Source organism: Homo sapiens, chromosome 2, assembly GCF_000001405.40.
Source record: "Homo sapiens chromosome 2, GRCh38.p14 Primary Assembly".
NCBI lineage: Eukaryota > Metazoa > Chordata > Mammalia > Primates > Hominidae > Homo > Homo sapiens.
In genome coordinates, this window is record NC_000002.12 from 165502852 (window position 1) to 165519353 (window position 16502).

Sequence of the window (16502 nt, forward strand, 5' to 3'; positions counted from 1 at the left end):
TGAAAACATGTACCAATGTTTGCACTTGAATTTCTCTGAATTGTAGGAAGCTAATTATTTATGTATTTAATCATTTGCCTTGTGTATGTGTGTGTGTGTATGTGTGTGAATTGCCTATCCAGGTTTTTTATTATGATAGTGATTTTCTTTTTCATTGTTTTATAATATTAAGGATTAGTTATTTGGTGAATGCATATACAATATCTTTCCTATTTTGTCATTTTTCTTCTAACTCTATGTTTGCTAGTGAAATATATTTGTACTGTCAAATATATTATGAATTTAGCTTTAGGAACTGTTTAGGCAAACTTCTACTGCCCAGATCAATTGTACACAAATAATTGCTCCTAGGATTTTCATAAATTTCTATATGTATTTAAATCTTTAGTCCATTTGAAAATTTTATTGGCATATTGTGTGAAATTTAGAGATAATTTTCCTGTTTTCCTAAAATCATATATTGAATAATATATTATTTGTTATTTATTTGTGATTCTGTTCCTATGCTAAATTATCACATATAGTGTGATCATTGTTTGTGGTTTTCTTTTTATTACATGCTCTGGTTATTTTAAAACCAACATTAGTGTTATATTATGGCTTTGTAGTAGATTTCATTATCTCAGATGAGAGTTCTCAATTTTTCCTAACCCACCACTATTAACAGAAAAACAGTACACTACCATACTCTTAAAGTTTAACATTATCTCACATGATTATTATTTAAATTTTAGAAGAATATTTTTAAGCTAATAAACAAACTTGTTATGCCATTGGAATTACATTAAATATGTAGATTAATTTAGGCAACACATTAGATATCTTTTTGTATTTAACTATTATTTTATGCACAGCAGAATTTTATGTTTTTCTTTTTGCAATGCCTATTCCCTGCTAAGTTTTTAACAATTGTTGTGTCTACTATGAAAGGGATTTTGTAATTATATGTTCTGAAAGGCTTTTTGGGTACTAGAAAGGGTATAGTGCTTTAAAAATGGAAATGCCTCCACCATTTCACCTTTAATTTAGTCATAGGATATACTTTGTCCTAAGTTAAGGAGATATTCTTCCATTAATTCTTTCTAATTAATAATGAATGTAAAGTTGTATCAGAATCTTAATAGTACATAGCAAGGTAATCCTATTTTGACCTATTAATATGATAAAATGAAAAATATTCTTCCTAATATAAAACTATAATTGCCTTTGACTCTATTTCATTGTAAATTAATTTATTTAATTTCACATGAGTATCTAATTAATCTGGCAATGTATGTGCATTAAGAGACCTTTAAAAATGTTCAAGATTATCTTAAAATACATTTTAAAAATACATTTCAAATTCACATAAAAAAGAGATAATAAGATGAAAGTTACACAAGACAGCACTACCAATAACCCTCTTGCGTCTGATCCTTCATTTTAATGCTGAATGTTTTTGAAACATATCATTTAATCCTCACAAAACAACATAAGAGGTGAGTAGGAATGGTAGTCCTAGCACAGTTTATTCTTGTGTGAAAGATAAGGAAACTGAGATGCAAAGGGGATAAGTAGCTTATCTAAGTCCACACAGCTTATAAACGCTGGCATTAAAAACTTAAAACCGGCTCAAACTCCAGTGCCCGCACTGTTAACCACTATAGTATGCTATACTTTCTATAAGAAAATAAAAATAATTTTTTCACTTCCATGCCATGTAACAAAACTGTTTTCAAAATCTTTAATTTAAAAAATTCTGCATTAAATACAAGCAGTCCTTTAGTTCTTATCTATAGTATTATTAATTAGAATAAAATGACGGTACCACTGGAAGTGCTAGAGATTGCAATTCTGATCGTTTAACCAACTATGCTGATTACCATTAAAATTAGTTTTGTAAAATGCTAAAACTCTCATGTCCCTGCTTTTGGTCCCTCACATGACTGAAGAAATACAAATTCTTTACATATCTCAAGAGTTTGTTAAAATTCTATTTATGCAAGGGCTAATGGAGCACACCACATGTTAAAGACCACACTGAAGACGTATTGCTGCATATGAGCAGACTGAAAAGGATGTTTCTGTCCTAAGGAACTTATACTCTACTTGAGAAGTTCAGACTAATAGACATGACATGTTTTAGCATGCAACCATGCTAAAAAATATAATCGTCAACTAGTACATTGTATGGATTAGAGAAAAATTAACTCTCATTTTCAGAAAACTTCAACCTGGAGACAGTACATCATTAAATGGAAGTAAATTTTATGGGATTGGGGTTATAAATTCATTCTTCAAACAAAATGTTTCTTGACAAGTAAGATCTGATTCTCAGTTTTGGGAAGTCAAAACGAAAAAACAAGCAAGCAAAAACTACTAACCAACTTTGGGTTTCCAGTGATTTCTGTCCTATAAAGGAAAACCCATTTATTTCTGTCTATTTTCCACTTAATTGGAGAATAATAAAAAGATAAAGGCATTGCTTGAAGTGGAAGAAGAAAAAACTCAAAACATTAGGTTTCAGGAGGCAAATAGATACAGAAGTTGACTGGGCCTCCTGTACCTTTTTTTTGCAAATGGGTTAAACAATAAATTATTCACTTTATTTAAAAAAATCTTCAATTATTGAAGTAGGATAAAATAGAACAACACTGCTCTGTTTAGCATCTCATATTCTATAGCTGCAGATGAACTTCAGATTCATTTTTGCTTCTTTGTAGTGAATTTTTGTTTTGATAGCCTTCATCTGGCATTAATCTGCATTCTTTTTGTCTGATTACCAGACATGAATCAAGGAATACAACTGGCTTCTCTATCTTAAAAGGCTGCGAGGAATTACTTTTCTAACTTCCGGAGGTTTTTTTAATTTAAATTATTTATTTAAGATAAAAGGGAGAGAATTCATTCAGTATTGTGGCAACAAGGCTTGTCAACATAACCACATTCATTTAATTTATCTTACTGGTAATACAAAACCACAAGCATTCTTTAATTTCATTTCTTTTACTGGTAATACATGACATTTGTCCTAGCATTTCTTTAAAATAGTCAAAGTTAATGATTACGGTTATATTAGTCAAGACTTTTTATTGCAAGTGACGAAAGCCCTATACTATCTATCTTAGATAAAACAGAGATATCCTAGCTCATGTAATCGAGATAGTCAGGAGTAGTCACATTAGGCCAAAATGGATTGGGGGTTCAAATGATACTCTCAATACCTACCCTGTCCATCATGACTTGGATCTCTCTTCACTGTGGGAAGGACTTATTTTCTCCTACCCATATATGGGATTACGGGTTCCCCAGATGATCTGCGGAAGATGTCTGTGTACTTATAGACATACATATTACTCTCTTCTTGAAGACAAGAAGGCATCTCTTCCACCCCTAGCTCCAACAGTTTAGATCTCCAGGATTATTTTAATATGTCAAGTATGTGTCCATTTGTGCTCAGATAGGATCTCTGTCAAATTGCATTTCCCAACTTCCATGCCTACTCCCTTCCAGATGGGTTCAGCAAATAAGATGCCTTGGTGGGAAAACGGAGGGCAGGGGTAAGGGATACACAAGAATATTCTCACCAACCCATCCGTGCCTCAGATGATATATCTAGTGGCTGCCACATCTTCTCATGATTCAGGCCTTGTTGCAATGGCCCAACTTTTATATTCATAGCCCCCATGCAACAACCTCTCCAGGGATTCGGCTCCCAGAAGGCAGCACCCACTCTTGATCTCTGGTGACTTACATCGCCTCTTCCTTTGGGCCTCCAGTCTGAGGGGTGGCGGCATCTACCCACTGTTGCTAATATCTGAGTTTCTTTTTCCTTTTTTATTTGGGGTCTCAGCTCCCTCAAAACCATTGTAACTACTTCCTTGTATGAAATTTCTTCACACAGGAATCATTAGACCACCCGTCACGAACTCTATTTTCTAAACTGGAACCTGACTGACAACCCTAGCCTGGGCCGCATACTCTTCACTGAATCAAACATTGTCACCAGTGGATGAGGTCCTTTGATTGACTGTCTCATTCATTTCTCCCTTGTAGTGGTAACAAGAAAGGAGACATGGAATATATTACTAGAAAAAATAGGAGGAAGAAAAATGTGTTGGGCCACCAATAACAATGGACCCCATATTAGTAATTCACTTTGATCTCGTAGTTCATAAACATGAAAAAAAGCTAAACTAAATATTTTTTCAAAACAACACTGCAATAAAATTATTTGTAAGTGAATAGTGGAAATTACTCATAGCCAATTGCTTATTAAATTTATAAATATTCTATCACATTCTGTTCCGTTTTTTAATTTTCTGGTTAATAAAAAGAACTAATATATTGAGGATATGTTGTAAGTCCCATGATATAAAAATAAGTAAAATGTTTTACTTATTTTCACTATATAGTATAAAATCAGAGTTCATATGCCCATATGAGAAATGAAGAGACTGATGTTAAGTAATTTGTTAAAAGTCACAGAGGTTAGAAATTTCCAAAATATGGCAACCTCTGTTTTTTGGTACCCCAGAACCTAAGCATCTTTTATTACATCATCATGCCACTAATATTTCTCTCTTGAACAGCATTGAATCTGCAGTTCTCTAATTATATTTTTAAAAAATCTTCATTTAGGGCTCCTCTGTATTCACCCTATGGTAAAATCACTTTATCATAAAGGCATCTATTGTGATGCCTATTTATACAAAGAGACTTCTGTGATAAAATTCCCTCATGTGATATCCAGAATGGATATCATACATTTTTTCCTTTATTTACACTTTATATTTCACATTGGCATTACGTACTCCATGTTGTTACAAACAGACCAATTTGGGGTCAGACTAATTACATGATTATATACCCTTCTGTCTGCCACAACATGCAATGCTTCTGGGGCGTAATGAAAGTACTTAAACATGTATAAATACTTATTAGGTGCTCAGCACTTTCTACAGGGGACTGTTTGGGATACTCCTAACATCTTATTGTGGCAGAAAAGATACGGACATATTATTGTTAGAAAGCCTGTGGTTTGTTCCACATTTTTTAAGAGAATAAAACTTGTCAGGGCAGCCCTAGCAACCATTCAAGAGCTTATTTGGGCATTCTTGTTCTCCAGGACAAAAATCGCATGGTTTCCATGCAGGAACATATCCATGATAACACTTAAGGTAGGTGCCATCGACTGCTTGATTAACTAAAAGTTGAGCTAACCAATTATGTAAAGGTCTCCGTCTTTTATTCCTATCAGTGGATGTCAGTTTTTCTTTTTTTAGAATCGATTTCTATTTTCTGCAGCTGAACATGAAAGTACACTGACTAACATAGTCTGCAGTTTAGCTGTGTTCCCAGGACCATCTGTAAGAATTTATGCATTTCCTGGGAATCTGATCAATTCTACCGGCAATTCTGTTTTCTTTGTAAGATTAAGTAACCCTGCAATTAATTTTATATTTAAAAGTTGATGTTTCTTTGAAAAAATTGTGAGCCCCATGTCCAAAAGACATTCTGTACTTTAAAATTGACTTCCCTGAATAAGTCTCTTTTATGCACACATACAAAGAATTTTATGTTAAAAGCATGGATATCATCATACCACAGACTTCGTTTAATATTTCTTCCTTTCTTTCTTCTTTTTTATTTTTTGGCTTGACTTCTCCATCTTCTTCCCCTCTGTCCTTCATTCACATCTCTTGCCCCTGCGAGTAACTCTTATTGACAACCTGGTTTATATTCTTTCATGTGTTTTTAAAATATTGAATAATCATAAACATTTACATATTCTAAGAGGAATTTTTAGTCAAAAAATGGATTATATTTTCTCTGAGGGTTTTCTGTCAAAAAAACAGATCATATCTATACATTTTTCTTCATCTTGGTTTTCTCATTGGACAGCACCTTATGGAAATTCCCCAAGTTATTTGTCATAGCTGTATTTTAGTAACTTTTATTTGTTTAATAATTTCATAATATTACAAGGTATGGACATTTAACAGTTTAGTCTGTCTTTCCCCTATGGGTGCTCATTTGTTTCGGGTTAGTTTTTATGTTACTATGAAAAAGGCTATAATATATATTCTTTAAAAAATATCCTTATAGACTTATACTTCACCTTTTATGAGACAGACATTTATGGACTAACACTGACTTAACAGATATTAGCATATTGCTTTTTCCAAATGGCAGTAAAATACATACTCCTATCAGCTTTGGATAAGATTATACTTTTTCCCATAAATACCAAGTAATAGGTGTTTATCCATTCAACAAGAGAAAGCCCCTCCCCTCATGATGTCTACATTAGTCATCAAGATGGATAATAACTAAATAGCTCTATAAAGTCACAAATGTGCTGTGAGGAAAAATAAAATAGGGTTAAGGAATAGGAATGGGGATAGCTATTTTAAATAAAGATGTTTATATAAGGCCACTCCAAAGAGAATATTTTGGGGGCTCAATGAAGTGAGGGAGTAGGCCATGTAATATGTGGGGTAGGAGGAGGCTTCCAGGAGAAATAATAACAAATGTAAGATGTCAGAAAAGAGCTTGACACTTGTGTGAAGACTGGATTCGAAGTTATTGTCAGGTAGTGGAAGTGAAAGATGTGGGGACTTGGCCTAAGGTGGTAGCTGTGGAGATGATGAGAAGTGGTCAGATTGAGGATGCATCTTGAAGGCAGAGCTGAAAGGCAATGCTGATTGTTTGGCTGTGGGGTGTGAGAGAAAGACATGAACATGAATTATTTATAGGCTTTTTACAATAAGCATTTTATTTTCAAATAATGTTAGAGTTTTGAAAAAGTTGCAAAAATATCACAGAGAGTTCCCATGCACCCTTTGCTCAGCTTCCCCCAGTGTTAACCTCTTACATAACAATAGCACACTTGTCAAAGTAAGAAATTACCACTCGGTATCATGCTATTAAACAAGGTACAGACTCTTCAGCTTTCACATTTTACCCATGAATATTCTTTTTTTGATACAGGATCCAATCAAGGATACCACATTGAATTCGGTCATCATGTCTCCTTAGTCTCACTGAGGTGTGACAGTGACTGTCTTTCCTTGTTTTTTATTATCCTGATTTTTTGAAGAGCTTGAGTCAAGTTATTTTAGAATGTTCCTCAATCTTAGTTTTCTCTGATGTTTTCTAATGATTAGACTTCGGGTAAGGGTTTTTGGGAAGAACACCAGAGAAGTAAAGTACTCTTCATATTGAATCATATCGGGGATATATAATATCAGCATAATGTATCACTGGTAATATTCACGTTAGTCAGTTGGTTGAGATAGTGTCTGCAAGATTTATCCACTGTAGCATTACTATTTTTATTTTTTCACGCTCTGTTTTTTTGAAATAACTAACCCAACCCAGGTCACACTCAAGGTCGATGGTGGTGATCAAGCTTTGCTTCTTAAATGGGGATGATCTGTATATGTTCTTTGGAAACTTTTTGTAAGGAACAGTTTTTCTCTTCTCTCTCATTTACTTGTTTACTCAGTCATTTATTTAGATCCATATAGACTCATATATATTTATTTTTTCTTGGGATTATAATATAATACTACCATTAATATTTGTTGCCTCAGCTATTTCAACTCTGACCATTGAGAGCTCTTTCAGGTTTGCTCTTGTATCCTTTTGACATGCCCTGGTCTATCCTATTTTTCTTCTTCCTTACTTTCTGGTATTTACACAATGTTTCAGGTTCATCTTGTATTTCCTCTTTCCTGGTCCTAAAATCAGCCATTTTCACTAAGGAGCTAGGTTTTAATTGAGCACTTTAGTAAATGATAATGCCATTTCCTGATATAAAGAAGCCCAGAGAGGGTAGAAGCCTGGATTATGTGTCTTCTGTCCTTTGTTCCTTATTACTTATTATTGTTATTTTTTGGACATACTATGTTTGAGAAGCCTATTGGCCATTCAAATGGAGTTGCAGAATAGAGTAAACAGTAGATATGAGTCTAAAGCTCAGAGAAGAGGTTCAGGTTAGAGATCTAAATTTTGGATTCATCAATAAATGGTGCTACTTAAAGACATGGGATTGGGTTTGATTTCCTTGGACAGTGTCAGAGAAGTCTCAGAACTGAATCTGCTAAAGGATGTAGAGTTCAGGAAGAATGGAAGAAATCAGGCAAAGGAGTTGAGAAAGAGCAGCAAATGAGGTAGGAAATAAACTAGGATTGTGTGGTATCCTAGAAGCCAAGTGAAGAAATACATCAAGAAAGGAAAAGTGATTATCAGAGTCAAGTTCTGTTGAGAGATTGAGGAAGATAATGACAGAACTTACCATTGGATTTGGCAATATTCAAGTTCACTGCTGACCTCGATAAGTGTTATTTCAGTAGAGCTGTGGAAATGAAGCCTAATTGAGAGGAATTCAATGTAGAATTGCAGCTGAGGAATGGAGAATGCACTCTTTAAAAAGGTTTGTTAAAAAACAGACCAGAGAATTAGGGTGATAGTGAGATGGGGAGCTGATGAAAAAGAAAATAACGATTTTAAGATGGGAGATATTATAACATATTTGCATACAAATGGGCATAATCTAGTAAAATGGAGAAAAATGATGATGTGGAAGACAGAGGGTATAATTGAAGTCGTGAAAACCTAAGTTGGTGAGAGGAAATGGAATCTAAGTCTTAAGAGAAGGGGTTGGCCTTAGGGAGGAGAAGGATGTTTCTTCATCATAACATGATTGAAGACAGACTACATGATCACAAATGCCAAGTGTATAGAGGATACAGTGATAGAAAAAAGGGAGGAAGTTTAACTGTGGCTCTTTCCATTTTCTTAGAAGCAGTATCATGAACTGAGAGTGAGGAGGTGGGAAGGAATGTGGGATGGTTGAAGAGGCAAAGGTGTCTCTTTGAGCGATATCATAGAGCCAAGCCATGAATTATCAAAGAAAGTGTGATAAGATTGCCAGGCACTACAGGGGACCCACTTATGTTTGTGGTCATATACCAAAAGTTATGTCTTGTTTTCATGTATCCTACATTTTCTCTAGTTGCAGTCATCTGTTTAGCTTCCAGGGGGCAGGTTCATAGCAGGAGGAGAACTGAATTTAATCAGGTGGGTTTTTTTGTCACACTAGTTTGAAGAAGAGAGAGAGAAAGGCCTTGGAGGTGAGTGTATGTGCAAGGGAAAGACTAGCATGATGAATAATGGTATTTAGTTAAACTCTAAATTCAGTAAGTGAGGAAGTGTGAGCATTTGTGGAATGAGTGAAAAATGTGTTCAGGTCAAGAAAATTTTTTATTAGTGAAGTATATCATTTAAGTAATGTGGAGACCTATGTTATAAAGCTTCTGTAAGGCTTTATACCCTGTTGATCTTATTTACCTTTTCCAGTGGTAGAACTTGAAACATGTTTTTCAATCCCTTCTGTGGTAATCTGTCTAGTCTAGTTTGTACCTCTTCTAGGGCCAGTCTCACCAATTTACAATTTTCTGGAAAATCATCTACTTCCTTAAGTTTTATAATTTTTACCTAAATTGTCACCTAGATTCTCTTATAATTCTAACAGATTTCCAGAAATTGTAATACCTCTTCCTATGCCTTTAAATAGAGAATTATTACCTGAACAATTTTAGAAAATTGTTTGCACATTTTTGAACACGGGTGATTGAATGGAAGAATCCATGGTGACCACCTCATCTATAAATAGTCTAAGATTAATTTGGTTATATAACTCTTGTGCACTTTACTGAAATAGAATGACTAAGTACTATTATTCTTTTGGAAACATTTTTTGTCATGTAATAATGTTTCTTATATTTCAACATATGTGAAAACAATGGAAATTCATTTTTGTTGTTTGGTAGACGAATTGATTATGGGCTGCAATATTTTTGTTAGCTGTACTTCAACATGTATGTGAAGGCACAAAATTGGAGTGGTATTGATATCTTAAAAAGAATTATAAATAGAATTAATATGACTGTCAGTGAAGTTTCTTCTCTTAAAAAGATAGGGTCAGCCGGGCATGGCGGCTCACGCCTGTAATCCCTGCCCTTTGGGAGGCCAAGGAGGGAGGATCACAAGGTCAGGAGATTGAGACAATCCTGGCTAACACGGTGAAACCCCATGTCTACTAAAAATACAAAAATATTAGCCGGGCGTGGTGGCACGCGCCTGTAGTCCCAGCTACTTGAGAGGCTGAGGCAGGAGAATCGCTTGAACCCAGGAGGCGGAGGTTGCAGTGAGCCGAGATCCCACCACTGCACTCCAGCCTGAGTGACAGAGCAAGACTCTGTCTCAAAAAGAAAAAAAAATAGGGTCAACTCTGCATAGAAGATTGCTGTCTCCTGCTAGATTTCTTTGCCCCAGGCCCTTTGCTCTGTCAGGAAACTGTCCTTCAGAGTAAATGATGCTTGTGCTGGTTGCAGGCATATTAATTATGCAATGCTGTATTTTGAGATGCAATTGCAGATGCAATTGAACTATTTCACTGAATTTACAAGTTTTATTATCACTTGAGAACACCAGACAATTACTCCACTTGTGTTCATAGACCATCATTCCCTTTTGACGTATTTGGGTTGTGATGTGTGCCAGGCTTCCAGACAAGCAGAAGTCGTCAACTTAGAGGTCTCAAATTCTGTGATTCCGACAGGAACAGATTTATTCTCAAAACCCCAGCATTGGCAAAAGAGATTTTTTTAAAGGCAGGAACAAGATGACAGCCTTTCAAACAAGTTCTATTTCTTTATAGCTTATCACCGAATCATCTATTAAAAATATTACAAGCTAATTTTATAGTTTAGTCAATGCTATCATTGGGATGTGACCTTCAGTGATCTCAGTGCTGGCTGGCTTGGCTGCTGACTGAAACATACCAGCAATAGCTATGTGCCTCACTGACCTACTGAAGATACCCTTTTAGAGAAAATGTTGAAAACATGGAAGAGTGCCTTGACCATTGCCAATCAAGATAGCAGCTGGGATTTGCAGGACAATTTGCAGTGATTTCCAAGGGCAACCAGGAAGCCAAAGAGGCTGGAACAAGGAGGTTGTCTTTACTTTCCCCATCAGCATTGCAATATTGAAGGAATTTCCACAAGTTAAAAAACTGGTTCTAGATGACTTTCTCAATTAAGCCCCAAATATTAGAAAGGAGCAGATGTGAATCATAAGAGTTAGATGCACATTTCTAAATGATGATATGGGTTTATGTCAGTTTTATTTTTCATTAAAGTTATATTCAGACATCTGACCCTGGGCTTCTTTAAATGAGCATAACAAAGTTGTTTGAAGACAAATGATGTTATATTTATATAAGTATACAGTTATCAGTCTTCTACAAGTTTTAAACTCCTCAAACATTTTTTATAATACCAGGAATGATTATATTTATCCTTGAATCAGCTGTAGAGGACATTTGTCCCTGCTAAGCCCAACCATAGGGCGTGGATCCCACTCACAGGTGGTATGAAAAGGCAGTGTTGAGGCTATCCAGTTTGGTTGTGATAACCTCATAAAGGCAAGATTCCAGGAAAAATGGCAGTTCCCGCTGATCTTCTGTGATGTGCCCAGGGGGGCCTGCAAAGGAAGAGTAGCTGCCCCTTAATCTTCCTGAGGTACATTACATCCCCGGATGATTCCTCTACAAAGTTGCCTCAGGGTGAGCGCTGTAGATCTTAGCACAACTTTTAAAATTCTGTCTCTCACATGTGTGCACACATACTTTGTTTTAACACAGTCTTACACAGTCAGTGTCCCCAGGTAACATCCACCCAGCACAGGTGCTAAACTGGAATGGTCACCTGCATCAACTACTGTGCATTGTGCACAGAACAGGCATTAAGCACCAGATCCCCAATACTTGGACCTTTGCATTGAATATGTCATTCTTCCCAACTCCTCCTCCTGCTCCTTCTCCTCCTGCTCCTCCTCCTCCTTAAACATTTTTTTAGAGGCTGGTCTCGGATTTCTGGTCTCAAGTGAACCTCCCATCTCAGCCTCCAGAGTAGCTGAGGTTACAAGGCTTGCACCACCACACACAGTAACTCCTTCTTCCTTTTCGGTAGACTTCACCCTAGTGGCTTCACTGGCCTTAGTTAGGGTCAGTTTTATGCATGAGATTTATTTTTATATCCTTGACTTTCAAACAGGTTAGAGTTTGAATTCCTTTCTTCTATAGGCCAGGGTACCTTTGCCTCTGTCTAAATTATAGGTTAGTTATAGATACGTGGCCAAGCGCTGTGGCTCACGCCTGTAATCCCAGCGCTTTGGGAGGCTGAGACGGGCGGATCATGAGGTCAGGAGTTTGAGACCAGCCTGGCCAACATGGTGAAACCCCGTCTCAACTAAAGATACAAAAAAAAAATATTAGCCAGGTGTGCTGGTGCACGCCTGTAGTCCCAGCTACTTGGGAGGCTGAGGCAGGAGAATCGCTTGAACTGGGAGGTGGAGGTTGCAGTGAGCCAGTTGCACCAGTGCACTCTAGCCTGGGTGACAGGGCAAGACTCCATCTCAAAAAAAAAAAAAATACATATATATATATATATATCTGTAAATTTAGATCACTAGATTTCTCAATATTTTTGCTTTCCTCAATAGAATATCTTAATGCCTAAAGAAAGACTTTTATTTATTTGGCTGTCAAATACAATTATGTTTTTGAATTTCAACTTTAATAATGGGTAGTCAAAAACACGTAATTTTTTTCTTTAGATTTAGTTACAGATCACAAATATAGTCAGTTTTCTTGTTTGTAAAATAGGCAGCTTGAACGAAATAGCATCCTCATTTTCTTTTTATGGCAGCAGAAACTTTTATTTCTAGGATGAAATTTTAAATGGTATCTTAATAAGAAATTACATTTAATAAGGAATTTATTTTCACTAACGAGAAAAGTTGACCTTAAATTATGAATGCTATTTATAGACATATGCAACTCAACATCTAATTTAATTATTTTGTTTTAATTGCAAATATCTTTTTCTTTTCCTTTCTTTTTTTTTTTTTTTTTTTTTTGAGACAGGGTCTTGCTCTGTCACTCAGGCTGGAGTTCAGTGGCACGAGCTTGGCTCACTGCAACCTCTGCATCCTGGATTCAAGAAATTCTTGTGCTTCAGCCACCCAAGTAGCTGGAATTACAGGCGTGCACCACCATGCCCAGCTAATTTTTACATTTTTAGTAGAGATGAGGTTTCACCATGTTGGCCAGGCTGCTCTCAAACTCCTGAGCTGAAATGATCTGCCCGCCTTGCCCTCCCAAAGTGCGGGGGTTACAGGCATGAGCCACTGTGCCCGGCCACAAATATTTTATAACTTTTTAAAGTCTATATTCAGTGGACACAAACAGAGATCTGTTTGTATGCTTGCTTGCTGCTTGCTTGTTGGTTTTTAATTTCTTGAACTGTAATCTCAGGATATTCATCTTTAACAGAGAAAACAGGAAAAGCTCCATTCTTAGATGTTGCTCAAAATAAGTGCAAAGGATGATTCAAGTTATATCTTCATTGGTCTTCAGTATGCCATCATTTGAATGTATAATGTTCTCAATAGAATTTTAAGATATTTAAAATTATACCTAAAATTGTACGGCAAGGTGACTATAGTTAATGATGCTATATTGTATTTTTGAAAAACGTACAGAGAGGTTGCTGTACACTCTCACCACAAAAATGATAACTATATGAGGTAGTATAATTTATTAATTAGCTAGAATTAACTATTCCATAATGCATATATACTTCAAAACATGTTGTAAATGATAAAAACATACAATGTTATCTGTCAATTTTTTAAAAACCTAAAAATCATTAAAAATAATAAAATTGAATTTTGATTGCATTTTTCTGAGGTTTCTTAAGTTCATCTACCAAATCTGGGGTTACTCAGAACCAAACTGACTCAATAACCTCTATTAGCTCTGTAATTCCAATCACAATTTGATATTTCTGTGCTATTGTTGTATCACAGTTAATCCAGTTTATTCCAATTCTTTATCTCAGCATATCTATGTAGATATTGATAAAGTTTAAAGGAAAAAAGAGAATCTTGGCGGCACAATTTGCCTGAGACAAATTTTTTTCTTAAAGATTTTGATATTTTGTTTGTTCAAATTACAGCAGCATAAGTTGCTTGTGTAGGGTATTTGTTCATTCAGGTAACATATTTGTAGAATTTCTACACTAGCTATTGTCATTGGCTATGATCAATGATAGCTCTGTTCTGCCTACTGTGGAAACATAATAAATGAACAAGCTTCTCTATCTCATTTTTAAAGAAAATTTTTACATTTTTATATGGACTTGGTAATATTACCTTGACATACAAGAGTAGAAAATTCATTAGTGGTTTAGAAAAAGTGATTATATACATTTTAGTCTGGGTAAATAAAAAGTATATATCATTACTGCCCGGGTTTCATCATCTGTCTAAATGGTTGCACTAATCACTTCTAATTACGGCACTGTAATTTTAAAGAACAACATTTTTGTTAATGTATGTCATTTTAAAGAATATTTTGTAAATTTTCTTAAGGCCTAAGTTATCTTAAATCATGAATATATAAATATTTGAGTTAATTTTATAATTAAATAGTTTCCTTTAAGCAAATCAAACAAATCAAGAACTCTAACAAATATTCATTGTGATTTTTATTGACTGTCAAAAGCTACAACATTTTGGTTGATTTCCCTGGATTTTTATGTGTTTTGAAGATATGAATCTCCTAAAGACTAGAAAGTTGCTTAAGTCTAGTGTAATGCTGGTTAATAAAATGGATATATCTTTAACTTATTGTCCCAAATAATATTTGTTGATTGAAAACCAGATAAATAAATGAGTTAAACTATGTATGGATCATTAGAAATTTACTACATTGTTCTAAGAAAAAATTTTCTTTGCTAAATTATATAGCATATGATTATTCAGTTCTGTATTTAATGCTTTACTTATAGTTTAAGATTTCTATTGATTTTCTCCTATGTAATCACGATGTTGGCACCTTTAGTAAGTTTGCTCTTTGAAAACATAACCTTACATAACATTCTGAAACGTATTTTCTTTTTTAAGGAAAAAATGAGGAAATATCAACAGACTGAAAATATGTTTTCAGAGGCATAGAATCTTCAGGAAAATACTGGAGTTCCTGAGATCTCAAGGTTAGCAGTTTATACATTATTATTCTCATGCTTTTACAGATTTGGGATATAATCTGTGCATCTGTTTCAAGTTTCTAATGTGTAATTGGAAATGGTCTTACTTAAAATATGTGTTTTAAACGAAGTCTCCTCAAGATTTTAAAAAATCCATTTATATCAGACATACAGTATTTAGTTTCATTAGGGACAATAAAAAGTTGTCTTAATAGAGAACTACTGGTTCTTATAATTTGCTTCATTTTAAAGGGTAGCACTATTAGCATAAAAATAAACATTTGACATTTCTATAAATTTTTCTTTCTGATTGTTAAATATAAACCTATTTAGTGACTTTTTCATTTCTTTTGTATCTTTGGCTGCAAAATGCACACATATACATGTAGTTTAGAAGGATAGCTAATCAGCAATCCTTCTGAAATTCCTTGAATTCTATTTCCTGACTTTTTTTAACTACAGCCAAATAAATAATGCTATCATTGGAAAGTGTGGCTTCGATAAAATGACAATTAATATGAAGGAACAGGAGGATCTTGGGAATCTTTTCTAAGTTGTTTAGGATGATATAACTGGAAAAGAAGAATAAGCCTACCCATTATTAAGCAGCTTATTATAATAACAAATTAATGTACAATATTCATTTAGAAGTTATAAATGTAGGTTAAAGTGGTTTAGTCTAATTGGATACCTTGAAAAAGTAGATGATTTTTGATGTGTTTATATTGTGGGACCCAATATCAACTATTCATAATTTTAAATGAAAAAAAATGTGATCTTTCATTTTGATTGTCTTGGTCAGGCATGTCTTCAGTATCTGTATCTATTTCTCATTCTTCCAAGGGTTTATTCATTTATTTAGGACTTAGCATATGCAAAGCAATGGGCTAAACACTTTGGTTCTTTCTAAGTGAATAAGATATGGTCCTTGTTCTCAAAAATTTCCCAAACAATATGTTACCTAGAAATTAATTTTACTATTAACTCAGGCAACATATAATTAAACAGACAAGCCAAATTTTATAAGGGCATGTAATTAATTCTAAAGCTAAATGGGAATTATTTGGGGATTATTTGTATTTTCACATTATAGCTTCTGTTAGCCTAGAATACTGGCAGCTTATACCAATGTGAATGTCGTTCCATTACAACCCACACCCAAATGATTTTTTTATTAAATTAGCTCTTGAAGTATAAAACAAGTAAGAAATATGAGATTCTAGGAATGAAAAGTCTCTTGACACAACTGCAAATTTAATGTCATAGAATATAGTTGTGCAATCACCTATGAAAAGAGCAAAGGTGGCATTGCCTACATTTTTTTTTTAATTCGAGTACATTGGATTTCCTTACTAAGCTCATCAGAGAATTAAATCGTCTCCCCAATGACCTAGAAAG

The 16502-nt window shown here is 34.6% G+C and overlaps 1 protein-coding gene across 3 annotated transcripts in view; it reads left to right on the forward strand.

Moving 5' to 3' along the window:
* CSRNP3 (cysteine and serine rich nuclear protein 3) overlaps nt 1-16502 on the forward strand; it is a 219710-nt gene that overhangs the window by 33154 nt on the left and 170054 nt on the right. For all 3 annotated transcript variants that reach the window (XM_047445908.1, XM_024453155.2, NM_001172173.2), the window contains one exon: nt 15022-15110. The gene's annotated coding sequence lies outside the window, so the exon portion shown is untranslated. The remainder of the gene's footprint in view (nt 1-15021; nt 15111-16502) is intronic.